This window comes from Homo sapiens, chromosome 1, assembly GCF_000001405.40.
Source record: "Homo sapiens chromosome 1, GRCh38.p14 Primary Assembly".
Classification (NCBI taxonomy): domain Eukaryota; kingdom Metazoa; phylum Chordata; class Mammalia; order Primates; family Hominidae; genus Homo; species Homo sapiens.
In genome coordinates this window covers 119553836-119575165 of record NC_000001.11, presented here as the reverse complement: position 1 = coordinate 119575165, position 21330 = coordinate 119553836, and the positions used below count along the sequence as shown (strand labels likewise).

The window sequence follows — 21330 nt, the reverse complement described above, 5'->3', positions numbered from 1 at the left end:
CTCTACACTGTTTATTCTAGTTAGCAATTCGTCTAACCTTTTTTCAAGGCTTTTAGCTTCCTTGCAATGGGTTAGAACATGCTCCTTTAGCGCGGAGAAGTTTGTTATTACCGAAGGTCTGACGCCTGCTTCTGTCAACTCCTCAAAGTCATTCTCCGTCCAGTTTTGTTCCCTTGCTGGTGAGGAGCTGCGATCCTTTGGAGGAGAAGAGGCACTCTTTTTTGGAATTTTCAGCTTTTCTGCTCTGGTTTCTCCCCATCTTTGTGATTTTATCTACCTTTGGTCTTTGATGTTGATGACTGTGACCTATGGATGGGGTTTTGGTGTGGACGTCCTTTTTTTTGATGTTGATGCTCTTCCTTTCTGTTTGTTAGTTTTCCTTCTAACAGTCAGACCCCTCAGCTGCAGGTCTGTTGGAGTTTGCTGGATATCCACTCCAGACCCTGTTTGGCTGGGTATCAATAGTGGAGGCTGCAGAGCAGCAAGTATTGCCACCTGATCCTTCTTCTGGAAGCTTTGTCCCAGAGGGGCACCCACCTGTTTAAGGTGTCTGTCAGCCCCTACTGGGAGGTGTTTTCCAGTCAGGCTACATGGGGGTCATGGACCTGCTAGAAGAGGCAGTCTGTCTGTTCTCGGATCTGGAATGCCGTGCTGAGAGAACCACTGCTCTCTTCAGAGCTGTCAGACAGGGACATTTAAGTCTGCAGAAGCTGTCTGCTGCCTTTTGTTCTACTGTGTCCTTCCCTCAGAGGTGGAAGCTATAGAGGCAGTAGGCCTTGCTAAGCTGCAGTGGGTTCCACCTAGTTCATGCTTCCCAGCCTCTTTCTTTACACTGTGAGCTACTCAAGCCTCAGCAATGGCAGACGCCCCTCCCCCCCATCAAGCTACAGCATTGCCAGTCTATCTCAGACTGCTGCAGTAGCAGTGAGCAAGGCTCCCTGGGCGTGGGACCCACTGAGCCAGGCAAAGGAGGTTATCTCCTGGTCTGCTGGTTGCTAAGACTGTGGAAAAAGCACAGTATTTGGTCAGGAGTGTACCTTTTCTCCAGGCAAGCCTGTCACAGCTTCCCTTGGCAGGAAAGGGAAATCCCCCAACCCCTTGTGCTTCCTGGATGAGGCAATGCCCCACTCTGCTTCAGCTCGCCCTCTGTGGGCTGCACCCACAGTCCAACCAGTCCCAATGAGATGAACCAGGTACCTCAGTTGGAAATGCAGAAATCACCCATCTTCGGCATCAATCTCTCTGAGAGCTGCAGATCGGAGCTGTTCCTATTCGGCCATCTTGGAAGTGACCACTGGGTGTTGCATTTTTCACCTTACCCCACTGCCTGGGGCCACTCCCCCCTGACGCTGGTGATGATCATCTGTTCCTTGGGCTTTTGAAGATGGTGGTAACCTGTTCATCTGGGCCAGAATGTGGTTCCCTTTTCTCTTCAGAATGAACACTGAAACTAACTCCATTGTGGTAATCAAATTCAACTGAGTAATGATCTGTTAATTTCCTGTGTAAGAAAAAAGCCATCTTGATGTTGGGTGTGACTCTCATCATGGCTGTGATACACAAAGGTCCAGAGGGAGACAGCTTCCACCCCACACTCTGGACCCATAGCAACCTCCTCACCTGCTTCAGTTCAACTCTGTCCCTGATGCCCCTGACAGTGTTTCTTTTGAGTGTGTTTTCATTGATTGGTTAATGACTATGTCATCACTGAAGTCCCCAAACTTGTCTTGATTGGCCTCCTCTCTTCAGGGAAATTGAGAAGAATGAGAGAACCAGTGATTAAAGAGGAGATGGAGAGAAGAAAGAGGCTAAGGATATGGAAGAATAAAGGAAGAAAGGATATGATTTAGAGAAGAGAAGGAGAAAGAAGAGAGAGACAGTTAAATCTGGGGATGTGGGATAGTAGACTTCTAATTTTGGGCTGAGTAGAAGGTATATTTTGGAGGAAGTTCACACTTGTTTTTTGTACTTGTCCAGGAACCCATGGTGTGGCTCATTGTGTGATTTGAAAGGGTGAAATGCAGGGTTATGTATGATCAGAATGGCCAACACACATATAGCCAGGAGTGTTCTAGAGACCTTCAAATAAATTGACACTGAAGCGGGTGGAGGCCTGATGCATTTTTGTTTCTCTCTGCCCTGCTCAGGCCCATTAGGAAAGGCATGCAAACCCTTTCAGATGCCCCTCAGGGATTATCCTTGGTTCTAGAGATTCCCCTGTACCAGATTGGGCAAGAAAGAGGTAACCCCAAAAAGCTGGGGCTCTCCCAAGTATCAGCATCCCATGCTCCAGTGCTCTGCTGTACCACTGATAAGACCAGTTCAGGCTGCATGATTCTAGGGAAAGATAAAGTCTTTCAAGACCAACTTCCTGGTAGCAGGCCTAGCCACTAATCATTAGTGTGATGGTGAACAAGTTTCCTTAAGGGTAAAATGGGAATAGTCACCCCCACGTGATAGGTTTCTGATAAGTATTGAGTGAGGGAATATATGTCACATGTAGGTCATGTTGTAGATGCCTGAAACATAGTAGAGCTTATTCAGTCTTCATCGCCCTTCCAGATCCTCCCACTACTCTGCCAACCCCCCTTCCCCAGCTCCATGCTACTCTCCTAGGTAAAAGATGGTGATACCTGGAAATGAAAAGAAAAGGAGGGAACTAGGTATTAACAGAAACTACACCTCCCTCCAGGTTAAGGATTAAAACATTTATTGCTCTTTACATTGGACTGCGTGAAGAAATAGGAGATTTAAAAGAAAAGAAATCCTTTCTCATTTAAGAGTAGAAATGGAGCTCTAGTAGTTAAAAATGACCTCAAGTTAGAAGAGACTACAATTGTTCGGAATCAGCCACTGAGATATGGAAAAAGCAAATCACATTGTCTTTCCTCTGGTATATGATTAGGACAAAAAGCTTCTGGTTGGGCCAGGGACTGGGCAGGTTTTGATGACATGAGGAAGACAATAAGTTGGCTATTATGTGAAAGGGAGGCAGCAGGACCTGGACTTTTGCCCTTGTCACCTGTATGAAGCCAGGAGGATGGAGCTTGACGACATCTCCTAACAATACCCACATGCACATCTCTGTCATCCTTCGATCACTGAGTCTTGGACTTCAGGGTCTCCTTGTGCCAGTCCACAAGGGAACCAACCCACTCCATGGTTTTCTGCTTGGCTTCCTCCCAGCTGTAAAGTGACTTATATGCCAGATCTTGCTGAGCCTTCTTGTAAGAGAAGGTGAACACGCTATTTGACAATGTCACTCTGTGGTGGTTGAAGGGCGGTCGACAGGTGTAAACTGGCCTCGGCAGGAAGCTCACTATTTCCAGCAGGAAGCCAATCCAGTACGTCAGGGATAAAGGCAGGCTCCAACTGGAATCAAGGCAGAGGCCGAACTCTTTGCTCAAGGTGTAACTAAGGTTATCATAGCTTTGGTGAGGCGTGTCATCTGAGATATAGTAGAACTGTCCTCGGACACTTGGGGCCTTCTTGGGCTCCCGCAGGGCCCTCAAGGCCAGAATGTGGGCCCAGGCTATGTTGCCAACATAGACTGGGTTGACTCTGGAGAACTTGCTGAAACTTGACAGGATTCCATGGTTGTTTAGGGCCTCATTTATACCGGCAGAAAGGATTGGGCTTCCTTCCCCATAGATAAACATTGGTCTTACGGCACAAGTGTACAAGGTGCCACCGTTTTTCAGAGTCAGCCCATTAGCCGCCAGCACAGCCTTCTCAGCAAGCTTTTTGCTGTGTGGGTATGGAGCGTACCATGTGTTTTCCAGAGGCTCTTCTTCATGACCGTTCTGAATGATTTCCTTGTAGGAATTGGGCCTGGCTACCTCTAGGGTACTGGTGTAGATGAAGATTGGCACTGTAGCTTGGACACAGGCCTCCAACAGAAGCTGGGTACCTACCTACGAAAAGCATTCTGTCAGTGTCAGGAAATATAACTAAGGGGCCCCAACAACGTGCATAGATATTTATTCCCAAGTGCAGTGGTTATAACAGACTCGGGGTATATTCTTATGTGACTCTGACTGAGACTGGGCCATGCTACAGCCATAGGAAAAACACCAAAATGAAAAGAAACTGACATGTGGGTTCTGGGGAGCAAGAATTTCTAGACTTTTGGGTATATGGATGTGTGTGTCTGTGTGTGTGTGTGTATATACTGTAATTTTGGCAAAGGACCTAGAATTATCACTTTATATTCTGTCAAGTAATGATGTTGAAAAATTACAATGTGACATCAATACCATTAATGGCAGATTATTGAAAAACTAACAAATCAGGAAGATATACTCTGAGAATATGGACAGTCCCAGTCCTTAGGCAGAAAAGGGCACTGGAAGAATTTATGTCACACACACACCCATACACAATTGTATATAAGCAATATACACTCTGAAATGTACTCTTAAATATACATATAATTGCTGGTATTTTTCTCATTTTGAGTGGACTGGTAAAACTTTGTCACCAGGACCATTCCTGGAGTCATTGAGCGAACAGTGGCTTGTGGGGAGATGCTGGAAACCCACACTCTTTTCCTGATTGTGCATTCCCTGGGAAAGCTGCTTCCAATTCTGGCTGTGACTCTGTTTACCTGGTTATGTAAAGTCGGGGTGATAAACCTTCCTTTAAACCCTGCCCTGGCGTTTCCTGTGGAGCCTGGTGGAGGACTGGGGAGAGGAGTGTGCCCTCTGCTGGTAACACCTGTACTGGGAGGACCTTGCCGCCTCCCCTGAGCTGTGTGGAAGCGAAGCTCATGGAGGTGTTCGGAGTGCCTTCCCTTGAAGAAGGAAGGAATTTCCTAGGCAAAGGATTATTATTTTTTCTTATTTTTTTATTCTTGGCCCTGTTTAAAGTCTCTGTGGAATTTGAGTTTCTGGAGAGACAGCCTCATGTTTTCAACAATTAATCTGGTGGCAGAGAAAATGCGGAAGTAGTTTACCTTCAAGGGGGAAATGACCAACATTGTGAAATATTTTCTAAGCCTTGGAGTGATAATGGTTAGGAAACAGATGCCTCTAACACTTCCCCTGTCATTTCACATTTCTTGTTGTTGGGAGCTGCGGAGAGTTAACAATTCAAATGAAAAACTGGTTACTCTTAACACCCTCCTTGCACTGTAGGGGTACTGAAAGAAATGAGCGAGTAGAAACTGGAAAGGTTTTTTTCTTTCTGTTTCCTTCCTTCCTCTCTTTCTTTCTTTCTTTCTTCCTTCCTTCCTTCCTTCTTTCCTTCCTTCCTTCTTTCCTTTCTTTCTCTTTCTTCTTTCTTTCTTTCTTTCTTTCTTTCTTTCTTTCTTTCTTTCTTTCTTTCTTTCTTCTCTTTTTTTTTTGGTACTGGAGACTCAAAAGCAATTAGTTGCATGAGAAAAGGCATCAGAGTAGACTGAATGTGGAGGGCCAGGCCTGTGGTTGGGTGCTATGGTGCTGAAGAGACTGGACTCTGGGAATCAGAGGGTGAGACTGCATGACGAGATTCCTTAAGGGAATGTGTCTGAATTTAAAGTAGTTTGGGAAGCTGCAATTCGGAAAGACCACCAAGCTTTTAAGGGACGAGGATTGAATGAAGGTGCACTTTGGGCACCTAGTTTGAAATGGTTCTGTAATAGCAGGCCCTTTGGTGAGCTGAAGAGATCATATTCTGCATACTGGGAAACTCTTTTTGTTAAGAAAATATTGTGAGAAAGCATGTGCTGGATAATTCTGTCCTGACAGACCTCTGAGAACCAGCTTTGCTAGTTCTCTCAAGAGAACTTCTTTGAGGTGGGCAGGAGGGCTTTGAATGTTCTTGATATGGGAGTGCTGGGAAGGGAAGAGTGTGGTCCCTTTAAATGATATGAGAGCGGGGAAGGGAAGTGCTGGGTGAAGGAGGGTGTGGTTTCTGGCTAGGGCTGCACCCTCAGGGACCTAGATGAGGACAAGCATTTTCTGCCCAAATGTTGCATTTCCCAAGACCACCCTGGCCTGCCATGCTCCCATTCTCTGCCTATAAAACCCCCCAATACCCTAGCAGGCACATGCACAAGCTGCTGGACATTGAGAGGAGCAGATTGGCAGAAGAAGACAGAAGGGGCTGGATGTCAGGAAGGGCACATCAGTGGAGGCACACATCAGCAGAGGAACACATCAGCAAAGGAATACACGGGCAGCTGGACTTTGGGAGGAACATACCCATGGGCAAAATGATGTGGAGTTTGTCTGGGGTGGTTGGAGAAGAGTTGGGTCATTGAGCAACCGACTCCAGGGGAAAACCCTCCCCTTCTGGCATCCCCCAGCTGCTGAGAGCTACCTCCACTCAAAATAACCTTGTACTCATTCTCCAAGCCCAGGTGTGATCCAATTCTTCCGGTAACCAAAGCAAGAACCCAGGATACAGAAAGCCCTCTGACCTTCCAACAAGGTAGAGGGTCTAATTTAGCTGGTTAAAACAAGCCGCCTATAGATGTCAAAACTAAAAGAGCAAGACTAAAAGAGCACCATGTAACACACACCCACTGGGGCTTCAGGAGCTGTACAATTCACCCCAGACACTGCCATGGTGTCGGAGTCCCACAGCCTGCCTGCCTGTATGCTCCCATAGAGGTTTCAGCAGTGAGGCACTGAAGAAGCAAGCCACACCCCCATTGCATGCTTGGTGAGGGGGGTGAGGGAATTTTTCCCATTTCATTATTATAAGCCTACACACAAGGTTTAAAATGATGACTATGGTGGCACCTGGAAGGTTTGATTCTGTCCCATAGAGGCAAAGAGTGGCTGAATATCAAGAGTCTGAAGTTGGAGTTTAGTTGACTTTTGACTGGAGCCACAATAGAGTGTCCACAGCCTTTGGAGTCACACAGGGGTGAGTTTAAAGTCTAATTCTCCTACTTACTTACTTACCTGGGGGGCCTTGGACAAGTTACTTGCCATCTGTAGCACTGGTTTCCTCATGTAAAAAACTGAAGATAGCAGCTTTGAACTCCCCCAGTTGGTAGTGATCAGCAAAGACACTTGGTCCAGAGCATAGCAGGTGTTCAGTGGAGAGACTTCTTTTCCCTTCCTGTCCTTCTTTGTGATCCTTAATTCCCCACCTTGCTTCATCTCCTCCCCAGGCTACTGTACCTTTCACATTGACATTCATGATGGACTCTGTGAGTGACACCGATGACATATATGATAGAGGCAGTGTGGATGATGACCGACATGTCCTGGCAGGCTCTCTTCAGGAATGGCTCATCCAGAATGTCTCCTTCCAGCACTGTCAGCTTGGTCTTGTTCTGGAGCTCTGTGTGAACACGGGACAGGTTATCGGAATGGTTTCTGAAACTGGCTTGGAAGTTTCCTGATAAAGATGTTGTTGCATAGGTGTTTGAGGATGGCTAGAGTCAGGGTGTTGGAGTGGAGGGTGTACATTCCATGGAAGGAACAAATAAACAGAGACACAGAAGTCAGAATGTGTAGCAATTTATTGGGAAAGAGCAAACATCTGTTTCTACCCCATCTCATTTCAGAAATGTAATCTGAGCAATGAGCTGTCAGGTGTGCTTGGAATATAAGCACTGCTAGGGTCATGGAAAGCCCATCAAAATTTTTAAAAGGAGTAGAGTGATTGTGGAGAGTTGGGTATAAGAGGGAAAATTTGAATTTAATTCTGCTGGTGATGCGGGATCATGATTTTGGGTCTCCAGCACCATATCAGAGAAACCCCTTATTTATATTTGGAATAAGTAGAGAAACAGGCAGAGCATGGTGGCTCACACCTGTAATTCCATCATTTTGGGAGGCTGAGGTGGGCAGATTGCTTGCACCCAGGAGGTCAAGATCAGCCTGGACAACCTCATGAAACCCCATCTCTACTAAAAATACAAAAATTAGCCAGGCGTATTGGTGCATGCCCATAGTCCTGGCTGCTTGGAAGGCTGAAGCAGGAGGATGAATGGGGCCCAGGAGGTGAAGGTGGCAGTGAGCAGAGATCATGCCTTTGCATGCCAGCCTTGGTGGCATAGCCAAACCTTGTTTCAAAAAAAAAAAAAAAAAAAAGAGAGAGAGAAACAGAAGCAGAATTGTGAAGTAGGAAGTCAACATTGGCTTGAGGATATAAAATGGACTGGTATAGGGGATATGAGAAAGTAAGGTAATTAAGATATTAATCAGAGTATCTGTGCCAAAGTTTCGATGAGGACTGGAAGCAGGGTCCAGCAGTGGAAGCAGAGCAGGGGAGAGATAAAACAGGTTTGAATTTCAGACCTTACCTTGAAGGTCCTGGTACCTATTGGATCTGGGCTGAGAGAAAAAGAAGACAAAATCACCCCTATGGTTTCCTGCTTGGGAAATTGGGAGGAGAGTGGAGCCATTACTAGGGAACTGTGGATGGGCATAAATGAGGAATGTCCATGAAAAACTCTTATCAGATATCAAAAGCAGATAGCAATGCTGAAAGTTAGTGACCAATGAACTGATATTCCAGCTGTCTAGCCAAGGGCAGTGGTTACAACTTTAATGTCTTCACGCTCCTCTGAAATCCACAAGACATTACGCGGACAGTAAAGTTGTCACCTGGAATTAGCCCACGCAATGAAAACCGTGGTACCTGGAGCTTGGATAAATACTCTACACTTGTTTGTGCTTTATAATCTGCATATGACTCACAGCTTGCTTATTTCATTTTACAACAATCTCATGAGACAGGTTTTCTGAGTCCCACTTTATTGTGAGGAAACTGAGGATCAGAGAGGTTAAGGGACAGATCTAAGGTCACGTTTCTAGTGGAGACTCAAACTTGCCCACCCCACCTCTAAGTGTTGTACTCTGTACACCGGGTACAGGCCTAGCTGTTTAGAATAAACTTTTCTGAGAAAGAGTAAGAATAAACCAGGTCAACTGAAATTGGCAACAAAGGCCAAAGAACAGTGAGAGTAAAATTCAGAGCGAAAAATTCAAGACCGGAGCAATTCCTTCCAGGGGTTCAGACAGGACCATTTACTCTCCTAATGCCTTTGCCATGTTTTGTCTACTCCCAGCCCCTTCCTATTGCCAGGCACCTCCAAGGAGGCCCTGCAGTTTGGGGAGGCAGGGAAGAGGCTGCTGGGGAGGATGCGGGTAACAGCCTGAGAGTGGAATTTTCTCTGGTTGTATTTCCACCTCTGCACTTCCTGCTCCCTTCCTCTGCTTCCCCTTTGCTGCCAACTTCAGACAGGCTGGCAGAAAGGAATTGCCATTTCAAAGCAGAAGAAGTCTAAAGCCAAGAGAAAAGGCTTTTCCTCAATGAGTTCACAGGGATCTAGAGAGACCAGGAAAAGGGACTTTGTGGTGGAGCCATAGTTCCCTCCTTCCTCAAGCTGCTAGACTAACTACTGCTTAAGAGCACAGATGCTGCACTAGACTGTCTGGGTTCAAATCCAGCTTTGCAATATTCTAACTCTGGGACCTTCGGTGAGTTAATTAACCTCTCTGTGTCTGTCTCCTGATCTGTAAGAAAGGAGGATAATAATATTAACAATCTCATAGGGTTGCTATGAGTAACAAATGAGTCAGCACATGCAAAACATGTAGCACAGTGCCTGGCACAGAAAGAACACTGAAAGGATTCTTTGTTTTTATCTTCATACAGGCCACTGCCTATCCATTATATTCCCTGCCTTTTCACCATAAGGAACAATTCCTCTAGGCTGAGAATTGCTTTTTTCTGGTATTACGTGTTAGATTGTAAATACTGGTGACACATAAGGATTACAAACATTTAATCTTGTTTTGTGTTAATATTTGTTTATGAAAGACACCATTAAAACAGAGGGTGGAGGAAATCGGAAGAGGTCAGAGAAGAGCAAAAGAGGAACAGTGTGTTGGGTGTGGTCCCTGAGTGCTATCAAGTAGAGGCTTCTCTGAGGGCAGGTCATGACTCTCTACACAGCCAGAGCCCACATGTAGACACACAGTACCCTGGGTTGGGGAGGAGGACAGGGAATTGGGCACCCAGGGAGGCAAAGGGAGAGACTGAAGACCCACTTTGCCAAGCATCAGCTCCAGAGTCAAGTGAGGAAGCCTCTGGAGGAAGCTCTGGTCTGAGCTGTGCTACACATTAATTAGATGGTCTCGGCAAGTTGCTTTATGTTTCTGGACTTTGATGGTTCATTGTTCAGTTGGATGCAACCCCTTTTCTACCTTCCTCATGGGGTTATTTGCACAAGGATCTGCTACACCGAATTCTGCAATTTCTTGGCTATTGAGCAACAGAGACAAATGGTTAAAAAATAAAGCCATATATGAAAAATCGAAATGAGGCATATCTGGCCTCATACTGCCTCTTGCCATCTCTGTTCTGTGCTGTGTGCCTGTGCACGGGCTCTCTCTATCACTGATGCTCTCTTTCTCTCTCACTCTTTCTCATGCATTCTCTGTCTTTCTCATTCTCTCTGATTTTCTCTCCCCCCTCATTTTCTCTCTCTGTTTCGCTTTCTGGCACACACACACACTTACACACTCTCCTATACATTCACTTCCTTTTATTTTGCCTTCACTAAAGATGCCAAGGTTGCTACAAAACAAAAAGCTCAGGGCAGTCTAGAAAGGCAGGGACCCACTGGTGAGGTCTCCAGGTAAATGGTGTCCTTTATAAATGTTGCAAAGCAATTGCCAAGACAAAAAGCTTCAGAACATAAAAACGTTGTAGACAAGAAAAATAACTGATGTGGGATTTTCTAGATGAGAAGTAAAGGGGTCTGGTGTCCAAAGTGGCTGCCTCTCAAGTTCTGGGTCAGGGCCAGAATCCAGTCTCTGGACACCCCGTCCAGTGTCTTTCACATGATGCCATTTATACTATTTAATATTCTTTTTATGATGATTGTGAATGTGGGATTGGCTTAGATTTGACTACAACTTTCTGTAACTTGCTAGAAAAGGTTCACCTTCCTGCACCCATGCAGGGTTTAAAATGGAGCCACACATCCATGAATCAAGTTTACTTACCAGAAAATTCCTCCCTCAGCTTTGGTCTGAAGGCCTTGTCCAAGGCCCTGATCTCCTTCAGCTCCTTCTCCTCCACCAAGAGGCGGATGATCCTCTAACCCAGAAACCCTCCTGCTCCTGTCACAAGGCAGCTCCAGCCTGTCATTGCCAATCCAATATTGCAGGAAACACTCGCCAGGAAACAGAAGATGCTGGGGAGCAGATCTGATTCTAGATTGACCCTGGAGAGGGCTGAAAACGAGATCAAATGGTTATATACTCACACAAATGCTTTATTTTCCTCCACCCCATTTTTTTTGGCAAAAATTCCATGTCTTCACCATTGCCAGAAGTAGCTAAAAGAAAATAAAGAAACTCCAACTGTTAGATTATTAAAAAGCTGGATAGAAGAGTCAGAGTGCTGGTCACTTCATCCCCTAAGGTAGCCCTGGAGTTCTATGTTCTGTGGCTCCTGGCTTTCCCCTTATCACTTTGAACTCCTGCCACATACTCATTGCTCCTGTCTCTTCCAGTATGCCTTTTCTCAGAAGAAAAGTGACCTTTAATGTATATCTCTAATTCTTCCCAGGAACAGGAAGAGAAGTCCAATTGTAAGGCTGTAGTGTGGTAAAGGGTCTTAGGTTTAGCCTTAACAGGACACTAGTTGGTTGATTCCAGTTGTCTGGGATCTGCAATCTGTGATCTTAAACTAGACTGAGAGAAATCTCCAAGTGTAATGTGAACTTTGCCTTTGTGCAGTAAATATGTTTGGAGGGAAATCCACATGAGCCCATTCTCTCCTCTCTCAGAGTGTCATTTGAAATGCTGCTGCAGTCTTGCAAAGTTTAGAAATTTGTAATGGTGACAGCTCCAATTACTGTTTTATGGAGTTGACTTTCTTTCCCACTCAATATATCCAAAACCTCAGTTGCCATTTTACCCTGGAGAGCTCTGGGTTCCTAGATGAAGAACATCATTGAAGGAAGGCTGTCTAGTGATAGCCACTTAATTATATGGCCTGTACTGTTGCTGTCAGTTACTACGGCATGAACGAAGGGGGTCAAATGTAGAAAGGAAGACAAAGACAAAAGGATATGTTTTAAAACAAGAGGTCAGGGGGCTCCTTGCTTCTAGTGAGCAAAGGCAGCTCTGAGCTTCTAAAGCCCTTTGTATTTATGAGGTAGAAAGAGCAGGTAGGGAGAGATAATGGTTGGTCAGCTGCTTGATTTATCACAGGTACACATAATTGCTTTCTTTATACAACAGCTTCAGAGGTTCCTATAGATAATCACAAGGAACACTGCACTGGGGGTGTGACGGCCTTCAGCACCCCTTCTGGCAGCAGACATAGTTTGTCAGTTTTAAAACGTCCTGCTTTCATGAGAACAGTTTTCTGTTTGCTCAAATAGCCTCCAGTGGTATACTGAGTTGGTCACGACCCTCATTCTTTTTGGCCTGTAACACTGTACCACAAGAGTGGGGATTTGTGGTTGTATGCCCCAATGACTCTTATCATAGATGTTTGAACTTTTCCCATATTTTTGGGTACAAAACCATTCTCAGCAAATTTCTGAACTGAAGATGTTGTGAATGCTCCTTGAGCCTATGCCAGAGAACTGCCCAAATTTCACCACCATAAGCTCTCCAAGACACTTTCCTCTATCTAAAAAAAGAGGTGTAATTTATATTCATTAACATGCCCAGATCTCAAGTGTTCAGTTCAATGAACATTGACAGTTATATATGTCCATGTAAGTAGCAACCCAAAAATGTATAGGTCATTTTCGTCACTGCAGACAGTTCTTTTCTGCCTGTTATTGGCTAATTCCCTGCCCTACTCCCAATCTACCTGGTAGGCAACTACTTTCTGATTTTTATTCCCACAGAATTCTTATTTTATCCCTATATTTTCTTATTTATTCTTCTAAGATCTCTGTGGTTCTGGATATATATTTAAATATAAAATCATTCTGAAATGAATTTTTGTGCATGGAGTACAGAAGGATTGACCATTGATTGTCTCTATTGTTTGTTCATTTTTCTATTTCATGATTTTCTTTGTTTTTATTATCAGCTTATGTTTATTAACTTGGGGGTTGTTTTACTCCTTTTTTTCAGGGTTCTTATTATAAAAGCATATATAATTGACTTTAGTCCTTTGCTCATTTCCACTACAGGCATTTAAAGTTGTAAGTTTCTCTCTAAGCACTGTGTCAGCTGCAGCCAACATTTTGATGCATCGGGTTATCATCACTCAGTTAATGATGTTTTGAATTTTTTCTTGTGAGTTCGTCTTTGACCCAAGTGACCGATACCAACAGAGTATGTAGCTTGTTTTCTGAAATTGGGAATCTTCTAGATATCTTATTGTTTTGAATTTCTAATTAAATACTACTGTGGCCATAGCATATACTCTGTATGATTTTGATCCTTGTGTATATATTGAGACTTGTTTTATGGTGCAGCATATGGTCTGTGTTGGTGAACATCCCATAAACACTTGAAACGAATGCTTTCTGCAGTTGTTGGAAGTAATATTCTACAAATGATTTGCTTTGAAACCCCACTCTAGGTCTTGCCCTCCTCCCATGTTGAAAACATTCAACTGCTACTTGGGACCTGACTACCAATGCTTCAAACCCACTTGCCTAGAAAAGGTTGGCCCTGTGCTGCAAGATGTAGCAGCTTGTTCTCTGATAGCTACAGGCCCTGGGTCTTGCTGAGACATGTGGAGCACTATCTGAACCACCCAGGTGCATCACACACCTTTGCCTGCTATAGCACATGCTAGAGTGCACCTTACAGATCCCATCACCTTTCAGATGGGGCCAGACATTCCCTATGCTGTTGAGAGTTCTGGAGGCTGATAGATTTCAGCCAGTGTCTCTTGGAGTCTCTGAGTGGAACCGATAAATAAAAGCCCTAAAGAAAGTGAGAAATTAAACAAAGGGCAAGACTGATGGGGGCCACACTACTAAATTTCTTTTGTTTTTAAACAGCTTTACTGAGGTATAATTGACATAACATTCGCTTGTTTTAGGTGTGCAGTTAAATTATTTTCAGTAAAATTTTAGACTTGTGTGACCGTCACCATGATCCTGTTTTGCAACATTTCTATCATTCCTAAGAAATCCCCCATGTTCATCAGTCACCACCACTTTTTCCCAGTCCCCAGCTCCAGGCAACCTCTAATTGACTTTCTGACTCTACAGATTTGCCTTTTCTGGAGACCATATAAATGAAATCATGCAATATGTGGTCTTTTGTATCTGTCTTCTTTCATTTACTTTAATATACTTTTATGGTTCATGTATGTGGCAGCACATATCAATATTTTAATCCTGTTAGGTGACAAATCCTATTAAATTGGATGGATAGCTCCCATTAGTTTATTCATTTATCAGTTGATACATATTTGAGTGTTTCCACTTTATGGACAATTATGGATAAAGTTGCTATGAATATTCACATTCATGTGTTGTGTGGACATAGGTTTTTTTCTTCTGGGTAGACAGCTAGAAGTGATAGTGCTAGGTCATATGGTAAATATATCTCAACATTTTAAGATACTGCCAAACTGGTTTCCAACGTGACTACATGTCCCATCAACAATGCGTGAGTATTTTAGTTTTTCCACGTCATTATTTCACTTCCCCCAGGTGTTGCTGTCCTTTTTTATTATAGCATTCTAGTGGGTAAGAAGTGGTGTCTCACTGTAGTTTTGATTTGCATGTCCCTGCTGACTGATGATGCTGACCATCTTTTCATGTATTTTATTGTCTATTCCTACACCTTTTTGATGAAATGGTTATTCAAATATTTTGCCTATTTTAAAATTGGGTTATTTATCTTTTTGTTGCGTAGTTGTAAGTGTATTTCATATTCTGGATATGAGTCCTGTATTAAATATATGATTTGAATTTTTTTTCTCAGTCTCTGGTTTATCTCTTCATTTTCTTATTGGTGGCTTTTAAACGCCAACATTTTTAGTTTTGATCCTGTTTCATTTTTCAACTATTTTTTAACCAGGAAAAGTTGGGTTTTTGCCTAATTCAAGATCATGAATATAATAATCTATGTTTTCTTCTAAGAGGTGTATAGTTTAGCCCTTAAATTTAGGCCTTTATTTTATTTTGAGGGAAGTTTTGCCTATGTGTGGGTTAATGGCCTAAATTCATATGGCCAATTGATTTTGACAATAGCAAATTCAATAGGGAAAAAGATTGTCTTTTAAACAGGTGACACTGAGACAACTGAATTGTCCACATGCTCAGGGAATGTCAGCCTGCTATGTCAAGTGATGCTCACCCGAGTCACCACCTATTGACATCAGAGTGTGTGAAGAATTTCTCAATATGATAACTATGGGTTAAATAATATGCTGTAGCTTTCTGCTTCTCCCATTCGACAGACAGCCGCATCTTCTTGTGCAGCACTAGCCACATCCCTGAGACACCATGGTAAGGGTGAAGGCCAGAGTCAATGGATTTGTCCCTATTGGGTACCTGGTCACCAGGGGTACTTATAACTCTGGTAAAGTGGATATTGTCACCATCAATGACCCCTTCATTGAGCTCAACTACATGGTCTACATGTTCCAGTATGATTCCACCTATGACAAATTCCATGGCACCATCAAGGCTGAGAACAGGAAGCTTTTCATAAATAGAAATCCCACCACCATCCTCCAAAAGCTAGATCCCACCAAAATCAATTAGGGCAAGGCTGGCACTAAGTACATCATGGAGTACAGTGGCATGGAGTACCATGGAGAAGGCTGTGGCTCACCTATAGTGGAGAGCTAAAAGGGTCATTATCTCTGGCTTTTCTGCTCATACCCCCATGTTCGTGATGGGTGTGAACCATGAGAAATATGACAACAGCCTCATGATCATCAGCAATGCTTCTTGATGATGTTAAAACATGCTTCCCACCAAATGCTTAGCAACTGTGACCAAGATCATCCATGACAACTCTGATATGGTGGAAGGACTCATGACCACAGTCAATGCTATCATTGCCACCCTGAAGACTGTGGATGACCCCTCTGTGAAAATGTGGCAAGAAAACTGCAGGGCTCAAAGGAACATCATCTTTGCATCTCCTGGAACTGTCAAGGCTGTAAGCGAGTATATCAATAAGCTGCACAGGAAACTCAGTGGCATGGCATTCCATGTACCTACCACCATCATGTTGGTCATGGACCTGACCTACCATCTGGAAAAACCTGCCAAATATGATAACATCAAGAAGGTGGTGAAGCAGGCATCAGAGGGTCCCCATAAGGGCATCCTTTGCTACACTGAGAACCAGGTTGTCTCCAGCTTAACCACTGACACCCACTCTTCTACCTTGGATCCTGGAACTGGCATTGCCCTCAATGACCATTTGTTAAGCTCATTTTCTGATATGAAAATGAATTTGGCTACAGCAACAGGGTGGGGAACCTCATGGCTCACATGGCCTCCAAGGAGTAAGACCTCTAGACCACCAGCCCCAGCGAGAGCATGAGAGGAAAAGAGAGGCCCTCAGCTGCTGGGGAGTCCCTGCCACACTCAGTCCCCCACCACACTGAGAATCTCCCCTTCTCACAGTTTCCATGCAGACCCCCTGAAGAGGGAGGGGCCTAGGGAACTCCATCTTGTCATGTACCGTCAATAAAGTCCCTTGTCTGTGCTCAGAAAAAAAAAATGCTGTATTAGGAAAGCTCACAAAGATTACTGATCAGAAAAAGAATAGACAGCATGATTTCTCCATCCTCCTATTTAATACTGATGCATAAATGGTCAGGAAATGCTGGGCTCACAATGGGAGTCTGCATTCCAGTGTGGGAGCATTAGTCTCCCTTGTTATAATTTTTTATTATTTTAAGCACAAGGACACAGCTTTATCAGTGGAGGAGCACACAGTCTTTTGGTGTGAAACAGTCTAGATTTAGGTGCCAGCTGTTCACAAGATCATCTGGAAAAATCAACTACCCAGCACCTGAAGTCCTTGGGGCTCAGGCAAAGGGCTTCATTTTTCTTAGAGGAGAAAGCCACCCATTCTACAAGGAGCTGTACTAGGCACAGCCCCCCATGCTGGGAAAAGGAAAATTCCTCTCCTTGGCCAGCTTATTAAACTCCTGGGTTACTTTAGGATACTTACATCCCTTGTGCTTGAGTCCTAGAGAGGTCAATTTGGACATGAGTAGCATAGAATAAGTTTTAAAGGCACAGGAGTAGTTTAAATAAGCTAGGGTAAGAATATTCATGGATAATAGGGAAAGTTTCTGGACTGAACCCTGGAATACACATATCAACATTTGGAAGTTGAACAGAGAAGGAGGGGCCAGCTAAATATGCTGAGTAGGAGTTGGTGGCAGGAAGGAGAAAAATTACAAGGAGATGGCCTTGTAAAAGTCAAGTGAAGAAAGTGTTTTAAGAAGAGTTTGGTCCACTATGTCGGATGCTGCTGACACATCAAATGCAATAGTAAAATAATTGATTACTGGTTTTGGCAAAATTGTAAGTAATTTGTAAGAGCAATTTCCACAAATAGTTGGGTTGAAAGTTCAACTGGAAAGTCCAACACACAATTCATCTGCGTGTTGAGGAACAGAAGAAAAATGTGAAGAGAGTGACTATTAAAAACAACACCTGTTCAAGAAGTTGAACCATGAAGATCTCAGTAAAAAGGTGTTACAGCCAATGGAGTGAAGAGTTTGTTTTTGTTGTGTTGTCTTAAACTGGACTACTCCTTTATTGATCCTTAGCACCTTGTACAGAGCAAATGTTCAAACATTGTTGAGTGTTTGACTAAATAAAGTGTTTATGTCTCATACGTCTTTTTATTACCGTAAGAATTTGCACATATGACATAATAGGAACTTAACGCATGTTTATTGAATAAAGGAATGGAAGGATGAGTGAACAATCAAGGACTCTAGAATGTCTTAGTGCTTTTGAAAGTTAGTGCTTGTGGACTAATACAAAGAAGGAGATAGAAGAGAACAGTGACCACAAAAATGAAAATACTAGAACGTTTCCCATACTAATGAGAGGCTGGAATCATTGCTCAGGCCAAAGCTGTTTGCCAAGGAGAAGCAAATTTCTTCTCATCTATAGCACGGATATGAGTAGGATCCCAGGTGTTTGAAGTGTACTTGAAGAGCCAGTTTTCAGAAGTAAGGAACAGTGGGCCATCCCCTCCACCATGTAGGGAGAACTAGGGCCAGAGCTTTTGGGTTATATGAGCTCAGCTTGGCTGTATTTCCAAGCAAGACCTTCAAAGTGAGAAAGGAGAAGGCTTTAGCAAAATCTCTTTTTAATTTCTTACTGAATCCTCTGTTTGTCAATTATTTTTTGAGGGGGGTCAGATAGATGTCACTCAACCATTTCCTCCGGAGTCTGACAATGATGGTATGGTAGCCAGCCTCTAAGTTGAGTCCAGTGATCTCTGCTTCCTGGTATTCATTCCCTTGTGTGTGGGCTGAACCTAGTAACTTGCTTTTAATCAGTATAATCGGACAAAAATGATGGAATGTTGCTTCCATGATTAGGTTAGAAAAGATCATGACTTCCATCTTCTTTTACACTTCCTCTTTCTCATTGGGCTGGATGAAGCAAGCTGCCATGCTGAAGAGGACAATATAGTAATGAACTGAGGTCAGCCAACAGTCAAATGGGAACTGAGGCTCTCAGTCCAATAATCTTCGAGGAAGTAAGTTTTCCAACACCTATGTAAGTGAGCTTGAAAGTAGATATTTCCCCAGTTGAGTTTTCTGATGAAATTGGAATTTTGTGCCAATCAAGAACTCTTCGTACTCCAACGTTTAAGAAGAAAAAGGTAAACTGACATACTTTTAACAAGCTGCTTTCTTTTCTTGGGAATTTCTCTTGCATTACAAAGAACATTATCCCTTCATTAAACTCAGTTTGAAAACTACGAGTGGTTTAGCAAATATTAGATTCACTGAAGTTACTAAGTGTTGGTGAAGATGTGGAGAGACAGGCATGTTATTCGTGGAAGTGTAAGTTAACACAAACATCTGGTGAGTATGTGACAAGATATTTTAAACTTTCACACCCTTGACCCAGCAAGTTCAGCCAGATATTTATTTTAAGGAATAATCAGTTGAGATTAGACCAAGAGGTCATATGGGACATCTCCTTGCACATAGAAAGCTCTACATATGAGCTCTAACATATTAATCGAGCCCTTTACTATGTATCAGGTGCCTTACATATATTATCTCATTTAGTTTTTAAAACGGACTTTATTTTCTATGATAGTTTTAACAGCTAGGAGGAGAGAAACAGTGTGATGTGATGAGTGAAGCAGAGCCTATTCGGCAGAGGATGGTCAGGGACGTCTCACCTCACTGGGGCGGTGACAGTTCAGCTGAGATCTACATGTCAACAGAAAGCCAACCATGAGAACATGGGGAACATCATTTTATGTAAAGGGAATGATAAATGTGAAGATCCAGAGGCAAGAAAGTATTGCGTGTTTACAGAATTGAAGGAAGGCCAATCTGGCTGGGACACCATGAGTAAAAGAGAGAGTGATGAAGACAGAAGTTGGAAGGATGAGATCATGCGGTGCCCAGGAGAGCTGGAGATCAGTTTAGAGTCTATAGTAAATGGAATGGGAAGCCCCAGAAAGGTTTTATATAGGTGAGACATAGGATTTGAGTTTACTTAAAACATCTCTCAGGCTGTTGTATGGAGAACAGAATGTGGCAAGCAGCAAGAGAGATTATGGGAAAAGCCAGTGCTGAGGGTGTTCATTTAGAGAGAGATTTTTTTTCTCTAACCTTCTTTCGTTTTTTGTTTTTTAGTGACAGGGTCTTGCTCTGTCACCCAGAGCACTGGTGTGCAGTGGCGCGATCCTCAACTTCCCAGACCAAGAGATTCTCCTACCCCAGTCTCAGGAGTGTCTAGGACAACAGGTATGCACCACCATGGCTGGCTAGGCTTTTAATTAATTTTTAATTCTGTAGAGATGGGGTCTCCCTATGTTGCCCAGGGTGGTCTTGAAATCTTAGACTCAAGTGATCCTCCTGCCTTGGCCTCCCAGAGTGCTGGGATTATAGACATGAGATTTTGTGCCCAGCTATCTCTAACTTTGATGTGTGTGAGCCTCTGCCCAGATTCCAATTAAAGAAACTATACCTGGTCACCGTGGAATTCTTGAGGTTTGATTAGTTTAAGCGACAGATTTTCTTAACCTTGGAGAACTTTTCTGTTTGTCTTTTAAATGTGGAGAGCAATTAGTTGAAGTGAAGCCTAAGTACCTGTAATTTTGTAGAAACTCCCTGGGTGATTTTAATGGGCAAAGAGGGTGAGAACTCTTTAGGACCAATTAGGGACCCCCTTTCTTTCTTGGGGATTACAGTAAGTATAATACATAAGGCTCAAATCCTCTCCTCCCCCAGAATTATGGAGGCAAAGGGCAGTGCAAGGTGCATCAGGCTTTGTCTGCTCCTGGCAGGCCACCTTTCACACAACTACTCCAAATAGGGAAGACAATATCATAAGTAAGAGCCAGGAAAAGTGCCTGTCTTGGCTGTCCATCAGATGACAATGGAATAGGTGTGGAAGGCTGCTGCTGGCCTTCACTGTCTTCACCACTCACAGTCAGCCTTCTTCTGCTTCTCTCAGATCTTTATTCCCCCAACTCAGCTCACTTAACAAAGCAAAACCCCAGGCATGACTTGTTTTCTCAGCTGCCCTTGGCAATCACATAATTTCCATCCTCTCTGCCCCTGGTGGGAGGGGAGGAGCACACTTGGCCAGTCTCCAGCATGAATTGCCTAGTGTTTGCTCCTCTGTCTCCCTATCACAGCTGCAAGTACCCTGTAGATAGCAGTTTTCTGCTGCCAGACTGTGGTTTTAAGGTCATTTCTGCTAATGCAAAGCACATTCCAATGGGTTTCAATTTCCAGCTGCTCCTGTGAGATCCAGGCCACTTTTCTCAGTGCTCTCTGCATTCAGCCAGTGCCCTGCCTTATTCTAGCAGCCAGGAATGTTCAGCTTTGGAAGCCAGTGAGGTGGGTGGCAAGTTGTTCCATATACCACGTTTCCCTCTGTTTAAGAAGTTTGAAAATGGTATCAGTGTATGTGCGGTGTTCAAGCTGGCATTCTCACGAACATATTTGAAGGATGTTCAACACAAGTAAAGCAACTGACAGACTCCTGTTCATGGAGACTAGGGATTCACTGGAAGCAGTTCCATGCAGTCTTTTTATTCACTGAAGACACTCCACTGAGATGCTTTTCTGAAAGCATCAAGGGCTGAGGTAGGGAGTGGTTCTGCCTGGGTGTTCTGATACCATCTGTGTATGGCTGGCCTTCCCCAGGCCCCAAGACTGTGACTCATTAAGAGCAGAGACTCTGGGAAGTTCACCCCTCAG

The 21330-nt window shown here is 43.7% G+C and overlaps 2 pseudogenes across 1 annotated transcript; one reads left to right on the top strand and one right to left on the bottom strand.

Annotated features, from left to right (window-relative positions):
• Nucleotides 1-2589: 2589 nt before the first annotated feature.
• On the bottom strand, nt 2590-11286 carry HSD3BP4 (hydroxy-delta-5-steroid dehydrogenase, 3 beta, pseudogene 4; annotated as a pseudogene). The gene has a single exon (NR_033781.1). The product of NR_033781.1 is annotated as a hydroxy-delta-5-steroid dehydrogenase, 3 beta, pseudogene 4 (transcript).
• On the top strand, nt 15321-16614 carry GAPDHP27 (glyceraldehyde 3 phosphate dehydrogenase pseudogene 27; annotated as a pseudogene).